The 20,676-nt window shown below is 37.5% G+C and overlaps 1 protein-coding gene across 14 annotated transcripts in view; it reads right to left on the bottom strand.

The window, feature by feature from the left end:
* Positions 1-20,676, bottom strand: part of AKAP6 (A-kinase anchoring protein 6) — a 508,387-nt gene that overhangs the window by 134,529 nt on the left and 353,182 nt on the right. For all 14 annotated transcript variants that reach the window (XM_047431969.1, XM_047431966.1, XM_024449755.2 and 11 more), the window contains one exon: positions 7,046-7,166. In XM_047431969.1, coding sequence (XP_047287925.1) covers positions 7,046-7,166 — 121 coding nt within the window. The remainder of the gene's footprint in view (positions 1-7,045; positions 7,167-20,676) is intronic.

The following is a 20,676-nucleotide window of genomic DNA, read 5'->3' as shown; positions in this document are numbered from 1 at the left end:
GCCCAACTCTTACTATTCAAGTTTTATTTTTTTAAACAGTTGCATTAGGGCAGATAGTTTTCACAAGTTTTTGATAAATTAACTTCAATTTGAATAATAATTCCATAGGTTGTAGCATTAGTCCTTCAAGTGTTAATTATCTTTTCACTCTAAAATTAATGTACTCATTTCCTACTGACTCCTGTACCCCATTTATTGAAGTGCTGAGGAAAACATGTCATTGAGTCCTGAGCCAGCCCTGTTGTGATTAAGCGTGGTCACATGGCCCATCTCTGCCAAAAGGAGGGCCCTGAGAAAAGGTGACAAAGACAGTGATTTCCTGTCAGCAAAGAGTACGACAGGGCTGTCTAGAAGTGATGCAAATGAGGGGAACTTTCCCCACGGCTCGTTTGATCCACTCTAGGCCAGAGCCAGCCAGGCCAGGGAGAGAGGGAGCAGCACAATGCCTCAGAGGCCAGCCCAGAGAGCCAACGCACCTTCCGGACAGTAGCTCACCCGCTAGAGACAAAAACTGCTGGCGGGGCTTCCCTTCCTTGCCCCTCCACACACACAGCCAACTATTTCTTGGCATCCTATTCTCTTAACATCTTTTTTTTTTTCTTTTTAAAGAAGTGATTCAAATAGGAATTACAGGCTCCAGCATGAACAGTGTTTCAAACATTGTTGAGAAACCACATTCATCTACTTTTTCTTCCCCTAAACATTTTCAGGATAAGTTTTGCCCTCTCTCAAAAAAAGAAAAAAAAAAGGAAAAAAAATATATTCAAGTATTCATAGCAAACACTGATTCATCAAAGCTCAAATTAATATGACAGTTAATCTAAGGACTTTTCAAACTTTAATAAAAATGAAACAACAAATTCATTTCTAGATAAGCAGTGGAGACAGTCTAGATCTTTCCATTCTGATCACTTTTTAAATGACTAGATAATGTTATTTGAAATATTATAATGAATTTAAGCATATTCTTCTTATCTTAATGGAGTTTTAATCTAACATACTATTAAGCTATACAATTAATCTACCAGGAAAAGAGGTAAAAAATTACCATTAAATTCTTGTGCCTGATATATCTAGAACATTTTTACCTTGACTGCTTCAATAACTGTAATTTGTTTCATTTTGAACATCAGGGTAGAGATGTAACATTCAACACTGAAATTCCAATATAAGGCCTAATTAACAGAATTTAATTTTTTGACTCGTCCTTCTATTCTGTACACCACCATGTGAATTTTTTTTTAAAAAGTTAATGAATTGTCTTCTATTTCAAGTTTAGCTACTGTGACCTGGACCATGAACCAACCTAACATTACACTTTTAGGGGCTCAAGTTTAGTCATAAGAATATCAAATCACATCGGAAATTAGTTAGATCAATTTGGTCCAGAACAAAATAAAAGAGAGCTATTCCAGAAAGCTGAAATGTGTGAATTTATGAAATACAGGAATAGTGTGATTAATCTGTTTTCTGAGATTAGTTCATATCTATGACATCATTTTGATATCAATAGTTATAAAATAGCAAGTCAACTATGTTCCATACTTCTTCTTGTACTCTATATTTCCTATTCCTCAGAATTTCTAATTCTATTCCACACGTATTTATATTTAATAATTATTATGGTTAGAAATTTATTTACCATACCATTCTAAGCCCTTGTATTTTAAAAAAATCCTAAAAGAAAATGTTTTCACATCTAAGTATCAAAACAAAATTTCTTCAAAGGAAGTATTATCTCTTTTTCTTATAGAAAGTATACATTTTGCAACTGGACACATTTCCCTCTTTGCTTTCACTACCAGGAAACTCAAAATATAACATTGGGATCATGTTTTAGTAACTGTGTAGGGCTTTGCAGTTTATATACAGGCATATTAACTCTTCTTACAGATGCAACTTCTAGTCTATGTATATTTTCTCCAGTCTGATTTGTATTTATGTTTTTAAAATATTTATATTATTTTCATGTTGATTCTTATAAATAACCCCAAATTCATAGCAGGGTAAAAATGTAATTGATCTGTTTAGTAGCCATTGTATTATATAAATGAATGGTCCTTTTCCTTTTACACAGAGGACATGTTTGGACTTATATGAATGAAGCCATATGAGTAACTAACCTACAAAATTAAGTACAAAATCTTTAGTATAAATTCTCTGAAAGTACAAAGATCTCAGTTGAATTGGATACTTATTTAGTAGTATTTTTAAGCTGGAAGAGTTATTTTTAACCCTTTATAAATCATGTACAAATCATGTTGCTTAACAACGGGGTATGTTCTGAGAAATGTATATCCCTGCTATAATCTCTCCCTTTCTCCCCACCTCACTTTCTGGTCTCCATTCAAGCAGTGTTTCATGATTTTGTCACTGTGTGAACATCCTAGAGTGTACTTAGATAAACCTAGATGATAGAGTAGATGGTAGAGACTATTACACATCTTGGCTATACGGTAGAGCCTATTGCTCCTAGGCTACAAACCTGTACAGCATGTTACTATACTGAATACTGTAGGCAACCGTAACACAATGGTAAGTATTTGTGTACATAAATATAGAAAAGGTATAGTAAAAATATAGTATTATAATCTTATGGGATAACCATTGCATATGTAGTCCTTCAAAGGCCAAAAATCTTGTTATGCAGCCCATGACTATAATCTAATATTTTATTGATGAGGAGCAGGTAAGCTATCGTTCAAGGAACAAATATATAAGTGGGGTGTTTCAGTGAGCTTCATACTATCTGAAAACTCTTGTTTAATTATAACAATAATCACCAGGCTGCAACTTCTGAATTTGGCCCTTGAAATTAACCCTTGGAGTCTGGAATTCCAGACCAACTTCGGATCACTAGGAGATCTGTCATCTGTGCTCTGTAGGTAGCAGCGAACTGGCAGTCCTTTGTGCATAGGTAAGGAGCCTCTGATAGGGCACACCCTCACCATACTACAATGTCAGCTGTACCTGCTGGGGAGGACAGTGCAGCAGCAACAGCAGCAGTCTGAGCTATAACTCTCTAAACGTTGAAATGCTTCTAGGTCACTCAGTCTATAACACTTAGAGAATGGGGGAGGAGGTGTCATGAGCTTCCCCAAGCCCAAGAATAATGCCACCTTTGATCTGTAGAAATGAAAAAATGGAGCTTTTCCTTCACAAGTGGGTTTTAAATATTTCTCCATTAATAGTTAATGCACATGCAGACCAGCAGAGTGACAGCTCCCTGTGATTATGAATTCTGGCGTCGTAACTCTAGTCCAAATAGGAGCTGAACTTTCAAAATCATAGTGGTTACTTTTGACAAATTAAATTGTCCTACTTAGGAAGAGAGGAGGAATGACGAGAAAGAAAGTGAGAGAGTGGGTGCAAATTCTCCTTCGAGGTAATTCTCAGGTTGAGGAAGAAAAAATGAGAAAAGACTACATTTGTGTTTTCTAGGCTGACGATATTGCCAATGTTCATTAGAAAATAGATATAGAAGGCTCCTATTCAGAGGTAGAGCAAGACAGATAAGGGGGAAGGGAAGTCATTGGCAGTATAACTCACTGTCTCAAAACAAAGAAGAAAGTACATTTAAGGGAATGGTTAGTTTTTAATAGGAATTAGGTTGCTCTTGAGACTGCAGTTTAAAATTAACTCAAAAAATGATCTTAAATTTCTAACAATATAAAAATAACAAGAAATAGTTCAAATAGAAAGTCCACTTTATAGCCCATTGCAGTATTAATTAAGGTTTCTGAATGATGTTAAGTTGTACTAATGTAGTCTTTGCCCATTAAATCCAATTATTTGTCTTTATAAATTCCTTGTGTATTTTGCTGGCTTTGGATTAGCCTAAATATCACAATAGATGCTGTACTCAGGATATCTGCTGAGTGGATAGTCTAGGGTTTCTGTATTTCATACAATCTGTAGTTTCATGTTTAGGAGGTAAGGCTAGCTGATTTTCTAGTGCAAATCAGGATATAAAAATATATAGGTAAAGTCAGGAAGGTAATGCCTAATGTTGAAAAAGCTAAATAAGCTTCACTCTCACTGACTAGCATCTTATTAGATTTTATCTAACCTGACATTTCTAAACACATACCTTGGGGATCAACCTAGGACTTCATAAGTGCATGAGTCAGGGTTTGGGCATAAATACTCCAGGAAAGGGGTTGAGTGATGAAATACAGAGAGACACCCAGGGAGAGAAGAACAAAGGTTTTAAATGCTCTAATAGAAGGAATAAAGATTCGGTCCTGCTCTACAGTTTCCTAGGATTTTTGCCATCACTCAGCTGAAGATCTCCCTTAGAAGTTTCACCTCATCCTTTTCGTTAATACTAGGGATGATGAGCTTCATTTTCATCCTTGATTTTTAAACTCACAACTGTTGGTTCAATATCAGCTATATAAAGTGTTTGTTCAATAACGTTTACAGTACAAGTTTAAGGCATTTTCCTTGTTGTTATATAAGTATTTTAAGAAACAAAGATGGTATAGATATGTTGAGATGGACTGGGAAATGCTGTAAAATGGGTTGGGAGGTCTCGTTGAGTTGTCACAATGAGTGGGGAACATGAAGAGTAAATGTTCTGTAGTGTAAAAGACAGGCCCACAAACTAAAAAAAAATTGTTTCGCCCTAAATGTCAATGGTGCCCTTAATAAAAAAGGTTAATAAAGCACTGGTATCTTTTGGGGTCAACAAATACAAAGATTAGAGATAAATAAGGTAGTCTCAAATTGTATTTAAAACCTGGCAAGGCCTGGGCACCAATTGAAAAGCTTTACTCCTTCAGGGGTCTCTATGATCAACAGACCATAAATACCCCTTTCTCAAGGCATCAGTTCAGTTGATTCCTGGAAAAGCAGATTAGAACAGAGGAATAGGATATTGAAAATGTTGACTTAACCTGGAAATCCCTGAGGATTCTTGAGAAGACATGAAATTAATTCTTCTCATCAATTTTTCTAATTTAGGAGCCACCTGAAGTTCTACATGACTCCTCAGTCAATATCCTCAGGGTTATTCTGGAGGCTTCCAAGCCTCTGGAATAATTTGGGAGTGCACATAAAGAAAGACCCTACAGACTAGCAGCATTTTCTACTGGTTTCTAACTCAATCTTTAATTTTGCTTATAAGCCAAATGTAAAGTTAGTGCTGGTCTAATGAGCAGAGCTATGTTAAGCACCTAAAAGCAGAAGAATGGTGACAGGACGTGAGTCACAAATGAAAAATCACAGTACAGAAAATGTTTGGAAAAATACTATAACCCAGAAGTTCTGAGTGGGTGGAATAATGGCCTTCAATATGCCAGAATGGGAATTTTCAGGCAAAGCACTTATAAGGAAACTGCAAGAAAAAAGAAGACTGCATTTTTGTTCAATGATTTCCTATTAATTGTGATGTAAATTATATGAATGTGATTTTGACAAAGAATAGCACTGTTTCTGAAAAAATAGTGGCTTATGTGCAAAATAAAAAATGCATCAAGAAGAAAAGAAATATTATTTGGCATCATGAGTGCAATAAAGTCCGAGATAATGGCTTATGGTTAGGTAACCTTTTATATTTTTCCCATTTGGCTCAATTCTTAATACTTAAGTCTTAGGGATAAAATATTTTTCTATCACTAAATTAATAGAGATTTATATGCACGTTTTCATATGTAATTCCTGATCCTGATGTGAAATGTGAAGTCATCTAGTTTTTGTTAAATTAGGTTGAGACTGTTACTGTAACAATATGTTATGCCAGAAGATATATTAGATAGCTGTGTTGTTAATGTGGACAGCTACCCATACAGGAAACAGCTAACAGTCAACAAACTCAATTAAGGTTGGACTGCATTCTTTAGAGAATAAAATGTCCCCATTTGCTGGGTCCCTGGGGAGCTTATATCTTCTCTTAACTGAGATGATTCCTAGGGGACACTAATTAAAGTCAACCAGACCCTTGAAAAGTACAAATATCTCTCTTTAGAGGAGGTAAAAGTTAAAATCATTTATTAAAGAACGGTAATTTAAAATGATACCATTGAAGAAGAAAGAAGGCAACTTTTATTTGACCTTGAATGTACTTCTTATTCTATAAGAAATTTTTAAAAACTAGAAGGTAGTTGTTTCTTGTCATTATACTGTTGCTGATTCTGTGGTTAGTTATTAATTTTATTTTTTATGATTCACAATCTGCTCTTTGAAATATGCCATATGCTCAAAGCAATTCAAGGATGACAACTGTCAGAATTACTCCAATAAAAATTGCCTAAATGAGGAAGATTTACTGCAGTCTGATATTTCAGTGGAAAGTCCCTCTTCCCTCCCCCTGACAGCTTTTGCAGGCACTGTGAATCCTGCAACCATTTTTTTTTTTTTTAGGCAAAATCACATGATTGCTTTATAAGAACTGCTAAGACTATTTAAGTAGAATTGGTAAAATACAGTAGGTTAAGGGTGAATTAGCAAACATGGAAAACAATATAGATAGTTATTAGATGGATTGCCTACAATCAATACATGAGTTTCAAGCCAGTTTTCTTAAATCACATGGAAATGTATTGACTTAATATGACAACGTCTGCTCTATGTATCACTAATAAACATTAAATTGGATGAGGCCTGTACTTTGGCAGCAGCAAGCCAAACCAAAGGCAAATTTCTTTTTTCCCTGGGAAGATCTGAGGGGTAGATAGAATCCACCTGAGTGCTCCAATCGTACCACGTTTTGTTAAACATTACTAGTCCATTTATCCTTCATTTTGTTTCAGTCTATTTATGAATGCAGTTTCATTTATTGCTATTCATCTTGAAGATAAATCTTTGTCCTTCTATAGAATTACAGCAAATAGAATGTGATAAAGGGAACTTTCTTGCAATTATGATGTCGGTGCAGCCTGTCAGCACACAAGGGATGGAAATGAGTTTGGGGACAGGGAAGGGAATTCTAATAGACACCATGATACATACAATGAACGAAAAGATATCCTGAGAGAGAGAGAGAGACTTGTCAGGCTAATCAGATCTTCCACAGCAAGGTAAAGGCAGGAAGGGTAGCTCTAACCTTGTAAAGATGCTGCTGCTGCTCCTCTGACATCATCAGGTCGTGGCTGTCCATCACAAGGGACTCCATGTCAATCAGCCAATCCCAGAGCTCCTGATATTCTGAATCAAAGTCCAGAAGCCTGAAGATAAGGCGCAAAATGTAGTATGCATAAATACAGTGTAGTTGTTAAAATCTTATATTAGAATAATATATTCTTGAAAACCCATGATGTTTCTAGTGTTATCTACAATAAGAGAAGAGAAAATTTCTATGTTGTTACACACTGGGCAAAATAGAAACTCAAACCTGCGACACAGCCACCTCTTAGATTGTGAAAACGTAATATGCAATTCCAATGCTCATACCTGAGACACGTTATGGCTATTTCCATTTGCTAACCCTTTCTGAGGATTTGCAGCACTTGAACAAAAAGATCACCACTGCATCCTTAAAAAAGAGCACTGCCATTTAATAGACTGAGAAATAGAGAGTCAGTGACTTGTAGAAGGTTACATGGTCCTGAATTTTGGGTAAGAACAGCACTCTCAAAATTGGAACCCCTTTCCCCTCTACTAGATATTCTACAGATATTACTTCCTAATAGATTTATGATTAAGAATAACAATTTAACTAATTTCTGTATAAGGATCACTATCAGCTCCAAATATATTGATATATACTATCAGATCCAAAATACTGTTTTCACTGGGACATCACTCAATCATTTATCTGTCCCTCTGCTGTCTATCTGCCTATCTCTGCAAACATATATCCTACATTTATTGTTATGGATGAGTAGTCAGCATTTCAGCTTAACACTCAGAGATAGGCTTGAGTGACTCTGGTAAGCCAGTGAGAACCAGTGGCAGATCCAGTATTAGACAGGTGTTCCCCACAGACACGTAGGAAACAAAGGTAAGGACAGGAAGTCAAAACAATGAATCTTTGAATAGCCAGCAATCATTAAAATTCAAAGGAGGATCACTATGGTTTTCAACAAAATAAATCATTAGAATAAGGAGCTTAAAAGGATTAATGTGATTCTCTATTGAAAGCCTGGTGAATAAGTAAAGCCCAGATTCTTCTAAAACACTGTGATCTGAAAATGAAAGTACAGAATGAAAAACTATGACTTTGTCCTTTACCCCTCAAAATCACCCCACTAAAAGAAATCCTACAGTCTTGTGAAATTGTAACTGAGCAAAACCCTATCAGTACTAATGAGGCAGCAGCCTCAGGTATGAATCTGAATTTTTCAGTTGAGTATTTTATTACTACCTGTTCTTGTCTCTGTACATTAAACGACTGCTTTCCGTGAAAATGAAAATCCACTTTTAATAACTTATAATTTAATCTTAATAGATCTGTCAAAAAACTTAAGGTGTGCCTGGTGATGGGGTGGGGGGGAATAGATCTAGGATTGCCTATTTTATTTTAATTACTTTATCATAACTATAAAGATCCTTGATTAGAACTATAAGCACCCAAGGGCAAGCATCAACATTGGCTAACATGTGGAGTTTATTAATAAATGTTTACTGGATGCCAATGACGGTTATAGTTGATGTAGTTAAAACCTTTAGTAAGGCTATGGTGGCCTAGAGCAGTGTTTCTGAAACTACAATGCACATACGGTGAAACTGATCATCTTGTTATGAAGATATTGATTCAGTAACTGTTCTAGGGTGGGGCTTGAGATTCTTCATTTCTAACAAGTGTTGGCAACACTGCTGGTCCATGGACCACGCTTTTTTTTGTTTTTTTTTTTGAGACGGAGTCTCACTCTGTTATCCAGGCTGAAGTGCAGTGGCACAATCTCTGCCTACTGCAAGCTCCGCCTCCCGGGTTCACACCATTCTCCTGCCTCAGCCTCCCGAGTAGCTGGGACTACAGGCGCCCACCACCACGCTCGGCTAATTTTTTGTATTTTTGGTGGAGAAGGGGTTTCACCTTGTTAGCCAGGATGGTGTCGATCTCCTGACCTCATGATCCGCCCACCTCGGCCTCCCAAAGTGCTGGGATTACAGGCATGAGCCACCGCGCCTGGCCCCATGGACCACACTTTCTGAGTAGCAAAGACCTCCAGCATATATGTGAAATCTGAACTAGTATCCCATTTCGAAAGACTAAAACAAAACAAAACCCGACCACTATAAAAGAGACAAATAAAAAATAAACCATCTGGTTTTCTTTATTGACTCTGTGACTAATAAGGAATAACTAATAAACATTTCCTTGAGAGGTATAACCATTTAGAAATACTTCCTGAATTACAGTCCCTATTTCTCTCTCCTTGCACCCTCCTATATTTTAATCATACAGACAGAAAAAGTGGAATGCCACCCACAAAATTAGAAGAGTATCTGATTCAAGGGATTATTAAAGCAAAGGGGAAAGGAAGAGAAAGCTCACCCTTTCCACGTCAGAGGATTTGGAGAATAAAAAATAAGGCAGGAGGAGCAGGTGCTCAGATGTGTGTTCTCCTCTCTCCTGGCCTAAGACCTAGAAAGGAGGCATGTGAGACAGGTTGAGAAAAAAGCCCAAAGCATAAGGATGTCAACTTCATTTCCAGGTCAGAACTCTGCGAGGAAATTGCCTCATATATTGTCCCCACAATAACCTGGAGTGGGGATGTTGTAGACAGAGAGAGATCTTCGGTTAGAATTCTCTTTGCTCTGTTGTTCTCTCATTCTCCCAAGAAGAGACTCCAGGGTTCTTGAGAGGTCAGCTGGTGAACTTGACAGAGGCATTGCCATGACAACAAAGGCACAATGACGGCCTCTCCCCAACAAAAGGAGAGCCAGGTGGGCCTCTCAATCCAGACCACAGAGAGTTGGCAGGGTCAGTGAGGGCTGAGTTGAGGCTTAGTCAGCAAGAAATACCACCGGTCCCTGACCAAGCCAAGAGGTAACAACATAAGCTAGACCAGCTACAGCCCTCTGTGGGAGGAAGCCTCATAATATCCTTGACAAGACCCATTTCAATAAGCCCAGCCAGACTGTACCTAAGCACTGTGTTAAGCCAGGGGACTCCACTGCACCCCAGAATTACAAGATCATGTAAATCCCTATATGCTCAGATGTCATCTTGGAGAAAAGAATGGAGACAAATAGAAAATCTGAAAAACAGAGTATTGATCCCAAGAGAGTATTTCCTAAAGAGAATGTTAATTTATTAGAGAGGCTATAATGTGTCTAAGAGCCTGAACTCTGATCTTAAAGCAAGTATTTTTCTTGCTTTTCTAGGAAAGTGTGAGTGTAGGGTGCCTCATAAAAATGATCAATTGGCAAGACAAAAGAAAGAAGCTTGTTTCTTTTTCATACATGTGCACCACTGAAAAAGAAATTTTGATTATGACTAAGAAATTCAAGGGCAAGAGATAAATTTATTATCTTTGCATCCTCAGTGTCCAGCATAGTCCCTGGTGAATGATGATAAATGAATCTAGATAAAGAAAACAAAAACCTTCAGTGGGGCAAGAATGACTTCAGAAAAGCAGCATGTGTCAGCAGACACAACAGTATCTCATCGCCAAAGACCAATACCAATACAACCAGTGCAACATGAACAGGCTGCTTTACTCATTCTTTACGTGAGATTTTGTTTTTACTATATTAAAATGGTAAATTCACTTACTTAAAATGATTATATGTAGTAGATGTTAAATCAATGTTAATTGCCTTCCCCTTCCTTTCACCTCCTCCTCTTTTTATAGTGAAAGATAAAGGTTTATGAACATGAAAATTATTAATGAATAGTTTTCAAATAAATTAAAAAATATATAAAATAATAAAATGTTCTGAAGCATGGGAATTTTTTCACTGGCTTTTTAGCATGCATTTATATCTATTGAACTGTTTCCTTCTATTATTCTCCTTATCATGGGCCTTCGAACAAAAGTCACTTAAGACTTTTTCTCAAACAGTCTACACTGGAGACCTGCAAGTAGCAAATGAACCTAATACAGATACTCACCCTTTATCCAGTCTAGTTTGTTTTCATCCTAGCTGAGAATATTTAGACTTGATACTTGATTTGTTAGATACAGTAAATGCCTTGGTACCACATTTTGTTTCATTGGTACCCAATGAGCACCAATGTGCTAAACAACAAATTCTCACAAAGTCTCAAAACAGAAGACAAAAACTTTTTTCTTAAAAGTATTTGTGCCTGATTTCAGATTCTTGGCCATGTGTTAATCCACAAGTTGGAAAAGACCTGAGATTTTTCCACATTTAGTGAAATCAAACATATAACAGTGGCAAATCAAAGCCAGGCACAGTGGCTCACACCTGTAATCCCAGCACTTTGGGAGGCCCAGGCAGATAGATCACCTGAGGTCAGGAGTTTGAGACTAGCCTGGCCAACATGGTGAAACCCCGTCTCTATTAAAAATACAAAAATCAGCCAGGCATGGTGGCACATGCTTGTAGACCCAGCTACTTGGGAGGCTGAGGCAGGTGAATTGCTTGAACCCAGGAGGCAAAGGTTGCAGTGAGCTGAGGTCATGGCATTGTACTCCAGCCTGGGCGACACAGCAAGACTCTGTCTCAAAAAAAAACAGTGGCAAATCAGAAATAAATTATTGAATTTCTTTGTAGGTGCTTTTGAAAGATTCTGAAATGACCACAATTTAATGTCCCCAGTATTATAGGAAACTTCTTAAGTAAGGAAAGAGTTCACTTTCTTACATTTATATTAGCTGCAAAGGTGTGTTTTTTGAGTGATTTTATAAAAGACAATGTGCTCCAGGAAAAGCTCCAGCTACTCTGCAGGAAAACAGAGAAGATCATGAACAAATGAATTTATCAAGGGTAGGGGAGAACTAGTTAACAGTTCTATATTCCCTTGGAGAATATGCTGATTCTATCAGCTGAATTCAGAACCAGGATCTTCTCTTGAATTTCTCATGACAACTGCTCTCATCTCTCTCTTTTGAAGGGAGAGAGGTGATTAAAATTGTGGTGAGTAGCTTATAATCTTATAGGAATACAAATATAAGAACTATGAGTCCCTTTTGGAGGGACTTTCCTCATAAAATTTTCTTTGTAATTATGCTTGGGTTTATGTCAATGCATTCACTCTCATTTGTGAGCTCCTAGATGTTAAAAGGCCTGTTAGGATACCATTGTAATACTCTATGAATATGTTACATTTTCTATGAAAGTGTTATAAAGCAAACTCATATATACTCTATGAAAGTGTTATAAAGCAAACATTTAACCAAAATGTATTCTTTTTGATATTTCTTATTTAACTTGCCATACACTTGATCTTAAATGGGTTCACAATAAAGGAGTTGGACATTCTGATGTAGGTAGCTTAATCATGTTATGGGGAGAAAAAGTCTTCTAACTTGAAGTCAGTTTTTCTTAGACAAATATAGAACTATAAATGTATTTGTTTTATAGTTTAAGCATCTAAACAGACAAGGCTATAGAGAAATAGATGTGCGAAATTTTTCTTTAGTGTTTATTTTTAAGTTTGGGTTGAAGCACTATGGGTAATTGCTCTAAGTATTTCATAACATCTTACCCACCATTTTACTTTGCCTTATTTAAGGTTAAAAAAGATTCCAGGGCTTTTATAAATAAAAAAATACTAACAACCTTATTTAGTATCATTTTTCTGCAGATTTGATGGTAATATATTACTTGTGAGGCCAGCATAGTTTAAGAAATAATCCTTCCTCTAAACCCTGATGGGAGTTATATTTGACTAGCTAAGTGTTTGAATACATAAATGCATTCAGCCTTTGGTATTTAAAGTGAGCATCATTAACTCAACATTTCAACTTAAACTTTGCTTAAACGATAAAGTTTCACCCAAGTGAAATCAATGGGAGGTGTGTGTGTGTGAATATATGAGGTTTCAACTGGGCTCACTAAGGAATTTTGATGAAAACAGACAACCAAATTAAGAAATCATCAAAATAGAGCAATTATTGGTTGAAAAAAATATATAACACTAAAAGTCCTCACAGGTTTTCTACTTAAGGCTGAGTAATCGTGTGTGTGTGTGTGTGTGTGTGTGTGTGTGTGTGTGTGTGTGTATTTTGGGGCACTTAAGAATACATCTTTTGTATGCTTAATATTAATTCACACTAGGACATCTAAAAACACCAGACTGGTTCCTGAAATACCACCTGTCTATATTGGGAGTTCTATTAAATGATCCAATTTTCCTAGCTTCTTTAGCATATTGATTCCTTCCCCAAATATTCACTAAGTGTTCGCTGTTCACATTATTTGCCTAGGAAAGTTTGCCTCTGGCTTTCAAAAAAGACACGTAAAGGAGTGGTAACAAAATCTTGCAAAAATATAGTTTAAGTATTTTACTGAAGTAAAATACTAATAATAGATCAGAATTTCCCATCATCCTCTACTCCATGTGTCATATAAGCACAGAAGGGAGATATAATAGTGGTGCCTGTTATATCTCCAACCATAATATCATCAAAGAATAAAATGTAGCTTTCCAGACATGGAATCTGATATGCACAGTTGCATGTACAATCCCTTTCCACTCTAAACATATGAAAGTGTGGACACTAATTTACTATTTTGAATGAAAATTCATGAGCAACTTCCTCATGAGAAAAGCAGCCTGCCTTTGCCATTAATAAATAAAAGGAATATGGAGTTCTTTCTAGCAGTAATTTCCTCAGTTTTTATATATACCTACGTACATGTGAACAGGTCTAAGAAAAATAAAATCAAGCCTACAAACTTGTTAATAACTGGCCCCACTTTCTCGTGGACCATCTGTCCACCAACACCTATTATTGAAATAAAAAGCATAAAGCACCAAGATAATCCATTAAAAATTCTAACCAACGAGATAATCTATAACATTAGAAACATCAGTGTAGATTTCTGGGTGTATTTAGAGGATTCTGTTACACTATCAGGAAGTCAAAGGCTCATCCAAATTTTTAGATAATATGCTGGACTAAGTTCTAGCCAGGGAAACAGAAAACATTCTGAAGAATTTTTAAATCAGTAGTTGGAAGAACAAATGGAAAAATGTACTTCAAAAGACAAAGAGATGATTTTTTTAAAAGATAAACCGTCCTATGTTATCATTTGTGTGTTAAGAGGGGAATGGATCCAAACCTAATGGCACACTGGTGTGAGTTGGGCAGTTCACCATTTCATAAAAGGATTACCCTATTCTAGGCCTCACTAGTTTTCCAAGATGTAATAGGCAATATATCAACAACCTGTAAATAATTGTCTGTTGCCCAATCCTAACAAAAGCCTGGTAGCACAATTAACATGAAAAGTTATCCTTTATTCAGGCTGACCCTACCCAGAGAGTGCTATGCTTGGACTACAAGATTTTAGTTACTTACAGAACTGTTCTTACTGAATTGTGCTTTGACATCACTTCTGCAGCCTACACCAAAAAACTGCTTTGGGGATTTGACTTCTCTTGCACGGGTGTAGTATCACAGACACCTGTCTCTGCCTTAAAGAACTACAGGAGAAATTCCTCTCAGGTCTCAACAGCATAAGAAGTTGTGCGTCATCTGATATAGATTTATTTTTAATCATAGGACACTATGAATTCTCTGATAGATAAAATTTCATTTTATTCTTTGGGTATGGATAGCTCATAGCCAAATCATAGCCCTTCTTGAGGACATACATAACATACACATTTGTTTATTTTCTTACTTTACTTTTTCCTAAATTATTTCAGTCTAATATTTATTCTATTTTACTGTCAATATTTTTGTAAGTTGACTCAGATCCTTTGTTGAAGGAGATAGGGAAATGAATAAAGGAATACATTTTAAAGAAAAGAGCTAACCTCAGTATACTAAAATGAAATAAATCAGATTTGTTTTAGGTGCCTTCTCATTGTCCGTGTCGGCAACTTTCTCCTTTTATCAATAGGTCCCATCAACTCCCCAAAACAGTACAAAAATTGATCATTGTTATCATGAAAGACGTGTGTGTGTGGTGTGTGTGTATATATATACACACTATATTTTATATATATACTATATTATATATTTATGTCTTCATCAGTTGACTACACTGTTAACTTTGAAGTCATACTTCTCCCAAAAGCATGCTTCTCCCTCTCTGGTTTGCCTTTTGTTGGCTCTTGGCATGGATGTCATCAAATTAGCGAAGTCTAGGTCTACAATCGATTTAACGTTATTTCACATTAAAGGGGTGTAATAATATCATGACCCAAGTGAATACATTTCTACTGGTAAGATTTTTTTGTTTGTTTTAGTCCAGAAAGACCTATTTAAATACTTACATAGTGGTCAGAATATCATTTATCCAGGAAGCAGCCAGGCACATTTTAATCCTTTTGACTGTAGCCTACATTGTTACCTTACTATTTAACAGTTCCAGAGCACAAAAAGGGCCTGAATTGAACACTGATCTTCTATTAGACTGAGGTAAGGCAAGAGTCAAGGGAAGGAAGTAGAAATGCTGGATGGAAATAAGATTTCTTTGGGTTGTCTAGTGATTTAATCTATATGTGAGACTGTTATCAACATTGGCACACATAAGAATAGCACATCATTTTATGGCTGGTGTGCACCAAAAAGAAAACACTTTATGTAGCAGTGTTCTAAAAATACCCACCGTGTAGAAATTCAAAATGGTCACAGTGTGTGTGTTTGTAAGAGAGAGAGAAAAAAAAAAAAGAGAAAGAGAGAAAGAGAGAGAGAGAGAGAGAGAGAGAGAGAGAGAGAGAGAGATAGTTAGTATGACAGAGCATGAATATTTTGGCATGCTGCTCAACAGAAAACCAGAAAGATCACCCCATGGCAGGAAATCCAGGGTGATTATATCCCTTCTCATTTGGTTAAAGTCATTTGACATATCGTATTGCTTAATTAATTTAGATAAACAAATTTGGTCTTTAATCAAGTGATATTTTAAATCGTGATTCATTTGTTTTCACTTGTCAATATCACTTCTCTTTGGGGATGTTATATTTGTATATACTTTCACACACATATAGAGGCACTTCTTTTCCTAAAAGAAAATGAACTCCTCTTTCCTGCCAAACTTTTAGCCTATAATCCTATTTTAATTTAAAGTTCATTTTATTCAGCCTGTTGTGCTTGGGATTAACCTGTATATACTGTTTCTATTTGGGAAGAAAATTTATACTAAAGCCTTGCGTGATGAGGGATGAACTATTCCTGTGTTCTCAGATACAAGGCATAAACCTCAACTGTATCTCTATCTGTAGACATTGCCCAATTTCATCCACAGCCAGAGGAAGTCAGGCATACAGCTGATGAGACTGGGGTATCTTCTGGAACTTCACCACAGGAGTGGAAGTCCCTAAAAACTCTCTTGGAATCCTTCTAATTCCAGGAAGCAGAGTCAGAAATCACCTCCATGATCTTCTGCTTCAACAGCATCAAACTATTTGTAGTAAACTTCAACACATTCAGATACTCCCCCTACCTAGTTCCTGTCTTATGGCTGAAATCCTCTCCCTCCCTCTACATATCCCTCTTCTACTTTTTTTATTTATTTTAAAATTTTTATTTTTAATTTTTGTGGGTACATAGTACGTATATATATTTATGGAGTACATGAGATATTATGGTACAGGAGTGCAATAAGTAATAATCACATCATGGAAAATTGGGCATCTATCCTCTCAATATTTAGCCTCTGTGTTACAAACAATCCAATTATACTCTTTTCTTTATTTTAAAATGTACAATAAAGTTATTATTGACTATAGCCCCCCTGTTGTGCTATCAAGCGCTAGGTCTTATTCATTCTCTGTGTTTTATTTTAACCCATTAACCATCTACACCTCCCCAACTCTGATGCTCTACTACCCCTTCCCAGTCTCTAGTAACTGTCCTTCTCTGTCTCCATGATTTCAACTGTTCTGATTTTTAGATCCCAAAAAATAAAGTGAGACCATGCAATGTTTCACTTCTTGTGCCTGGCGAATTTCACTTAACATAATGACCTCCAGCTCCATCACGTCGTTGCAAATGACAGAAGTTCATTCTTTTTTATGGCTGAATAGTACTCTATCATGTATAAGTGCTATATTTTCTTTATACATTCATCTGCTGATGGACACTTAAGTTGCTTCCAAAGCTTGGCTATTGTGAACAATGCTGCAACAAACATGAGAGTAAAGATATTTCTTTCATATACTGATTTCCTGTCTTTGGAGTATATGCCCAGCAGTGGGATTGCTGGATTGTATGGTAGCCCTATTTTTAGCTTTTTGAGGAACCTCCAAACTGTTCTCCATAGTGGTTGTACGAATTTAGATTCCCACCAAGTGTATGAGGGTTCCCTTTGCTTTACATCCTCGCCAGCATTTGTTATTGCCTGACTTGAATAAAAGCCATTTGAACTGCACAGACCTCTTTTTTTTTTTTTTTTTTTTGAGATGGAGTCTCGCTCTGTCGCCCAGGCTGGAGTGCAATGGCATGGATATTGGCTCACTGCAAGCTCCGCCTCCAGGGTTCATGTCATTCTCCTGCCTCAGCCTCCCTAGTAGCTGGGAGTACAGGCGCCCACCACCATGCCTGGCTAATTTTTTGTATGTTTAGTAGAGATGGGGTTTCACCATGTTGGCCAGGATGGTCTCGATCTCCTGACCTCGTGATCCGCCCGCCTCGGCCTCCCAAAGTGCTGGGATTACAGGCATGTAATCCCACCGCACCCGGCCAGACCTCTTCTAATGGCTAAAATCTATGCATCCTTTAAGACAGCTCAGATGTTCCCTCCTCCACTAAGCCTTCTTGACCCCTTTCAGCTAGGCTGGATTAGGTAGCCCTTCTCAGTATTCCCATAACACTCTGTATCTTAAATTTTCCCCTTTCTTAATTAAGTAATTTATTTTTTGAGACATGGTTTCAGTCTGTCTCCCAGGTTGGAGTGCAGTGGCATTATCAAAGCTCACTGCAGCCTCAACCTCCTGGGCTCAAGCAATCCTCCTGCCTCAACCTCCTAGGTGGCTGGGACCATAGATGCAAACCACCATGCCCAGCTACTTAAAAAATTTTTTGTAGGTTTGGTAGGGGGGGGTCTTACTATGTTACCAAGGCTGGTCTTGAACTCCTGGGCTCAAATGATCCTCTTGCTTTGGCCTCCCAAAGTGCTGGGATTACAGGTGTGAGCCACTGTGCCCAGCCCCGCCCATTGTTCTATAAGGATGTATCTAAATGTCTCTCTCTCTCACTACACTGAATACCATAGAGATTAAGTCTTACGTATCTTTTTCATTGCTAGCATCTCATACTACTGTCTGCAACACAGTAGTTGGAAAATAAATATTTCGTTAATGATTTTTCATATTATTTATTGCATTCTAGGTATTTTAGATATTTTCCTACTATTGCATTTCCTTTCTCAAAAAAAAAAACATGAAGTACACTAGGATAATGATTCTCATTTTATAGACTGAGATATCATATCTTGGTGAGGTTAAATGTCCCAATCAAGGTTCCATAGCTAAAAAGTAGCAGAGAGCTAACTTGAATTCTATTCTTAATTTTTAATCTAGTTTCTCTCTCTCCTCTTAGGAAATTAGACTACAGTGAATGCATGACTTACCCCTAAAAATAAACATTATTTGTGTAGTTGGAAGCAATCTGAGCAGACTCAATGCAATCTTATATCTAGGATCAGGAGCTTTTTACCTACAGCTTTAAGAGAGAAAATAATAGTCAACCGTACTCCTCAATTCTGTCAATCAAGATACTACCTGGAATTCTCAATGGTGTAGTCTTTATTTTGTAATTCTTGCATATTACAGCAGGAAAAACTCTAACTGAAATGAAAATGTTCTGCTTACCTATAGTTTTAAAATAAGCATTCCTTAAAGACAATGTTATGTTCACCTGGCAGGGAGGGCATAGTTTACCACAAGGTAAATTCTTGGCTCTCTCAGCCTCTGCTACCCCATAGTTACCACACTGTCCTTAATGTTGGCTGAGGAAGCCAAAACATTTCTGAGCTCCAGTTCTGCTTCCTGGGTTTTTCTACTTGGATGCTTCAGAGACCATGGAAAGAACTATGTCTCAAATACTCTGCTTTTCCTCCCTGTTATTCTTCCTCTGCATTCCCCTCCTCAGTGAATGCCACATCTGTCTCCTAGAGTGCCCAAGTCTGAAATACGGAGGTCCATTCTCAAATAGCCCCTCCCTCAACAACCCCATCTACCCAGTAACCAAGGTTTGTCAATGCAGCTTCCTTCTTTCAGTTTCTATTGCTGTTGTCTTAGCTCAGGGACTATTTCTTATTTGAATGACTGGAAGAGCCTCTTATCTGAGCACTGTCTAGCCTAGGCCTAACCAATCTGTTCTCCACACAGTTAGCAGATAATTGTTGCAAACTACCAATCTAGTCATGCTGGGCATCACTTAGTGATTCTGGCTGTTTGCACACACTGCCTCCTCTGTGAGAAACACCCTTGTCATTTCTGACCCTGGGCCATCCTCCATGACACTTCTTCTGGAAGGTTTTCCTGATTTCCATATACCTATCACCTTTTGTGTCCCACTGCCTCTATGTCCCCAGTGCCTAACACAGCCTGCACTTAATAGGTGCTAAATAAATATCACATGCTGGATGACACCAAAGTCATTTGAATCCAAGTATTCCTGTTTTCTTTCTCTTTGAGCCAATAACTGGGGCATCAGAATGGTTCCTTCTCCCTCACTCTCTTCATCCTGTGGACCACTGAGGTTTACTGATACTTTCTGGCTTCAGTCTCCATCTAGTCTCCACATGCTCCATTAACTGTCAACCTAAAAGTCTCTAATGCCCAAAGCGGTGCTTCTCAAACTTCAGCATTAGATTCACCTGGGAGGGGCTGGGTGCGGTGGCTCACTCCTGTAATCTCAGCACTTTGGAGAGCTGAGGTGGGTGAATCACTTGAGGTTAGGAGTTCGAGACTAACCTGGGCAACATGACGAAACCCCGTCTCTACTAAAAATACAAAAATTAGCCAGGCATGGTGGTGTGCACCTGTAATCCCAGACACTTGAGAGACTGAGGGACAAGAATCGCTTGAACCCAAGAGGCGGAGGTTGCGGTGAGCCAAGATCACGCCACTGCACTCCAGCCTGGGCGACAGAGCAAGGCTTTGTCTCAAAAACAAAAAAAAAAGGAAGAAAAAAGAAAAAAAAAGAATCACCTGGGATGCTTGTTAAACAAAGATTGCTGGTCTCCACCCCTAGACTTTCTAGTTCAATAGGTCTGAAGTGAGACCTAGAAATGACATTTCTAACAAATTCCTAGGAGATACTGCTGCTGGTGGTCCAGAGACCATACTTTGAAAACCACTGAAGCAATGGTTCTCAACTGGTGGTGAGCATTAGAACCTAATCACTATCATCTTCTTCTGCCTACTGAATCAAAATTTTCAGTAGGGTCGGGCAGGCTGGCTTTTTTCTACTTAAAAGCTCCACAGGTCATCCTGATGCACTATCTCGGTTAAGAACCATGAATTCAATGATTAACTTCTGGCTCTGGACTTCACCTTCTTCCAAAGCCTTATTTTCCACACCTCCTCTAACTTCAATCCTCCTCTTCAGTCCTATGAAACAGCAAGCAGTCTGATGATTCCAGACCTTTCCTCCCTTTTAGCCCCAGATCAGTTTTATTTATTCATTCATGCATCCA

Source organism: Homo sapiens, chromosome 14, assembly GCF_000001405.40.
Source record: "Homo sapiens chromosome 14, GRCh38.p14 Primary Assembly".
Lineage (NCBI taxonomy): Eukaryota > Metazoa > Chordata > Mammalia > Primates > Hominidae > Homo > Homo sapiens.
Note: the sequence above shows the minus strand (reverse complement) of the source record. Positions and strands in the feature narration are given on the sequence as shown.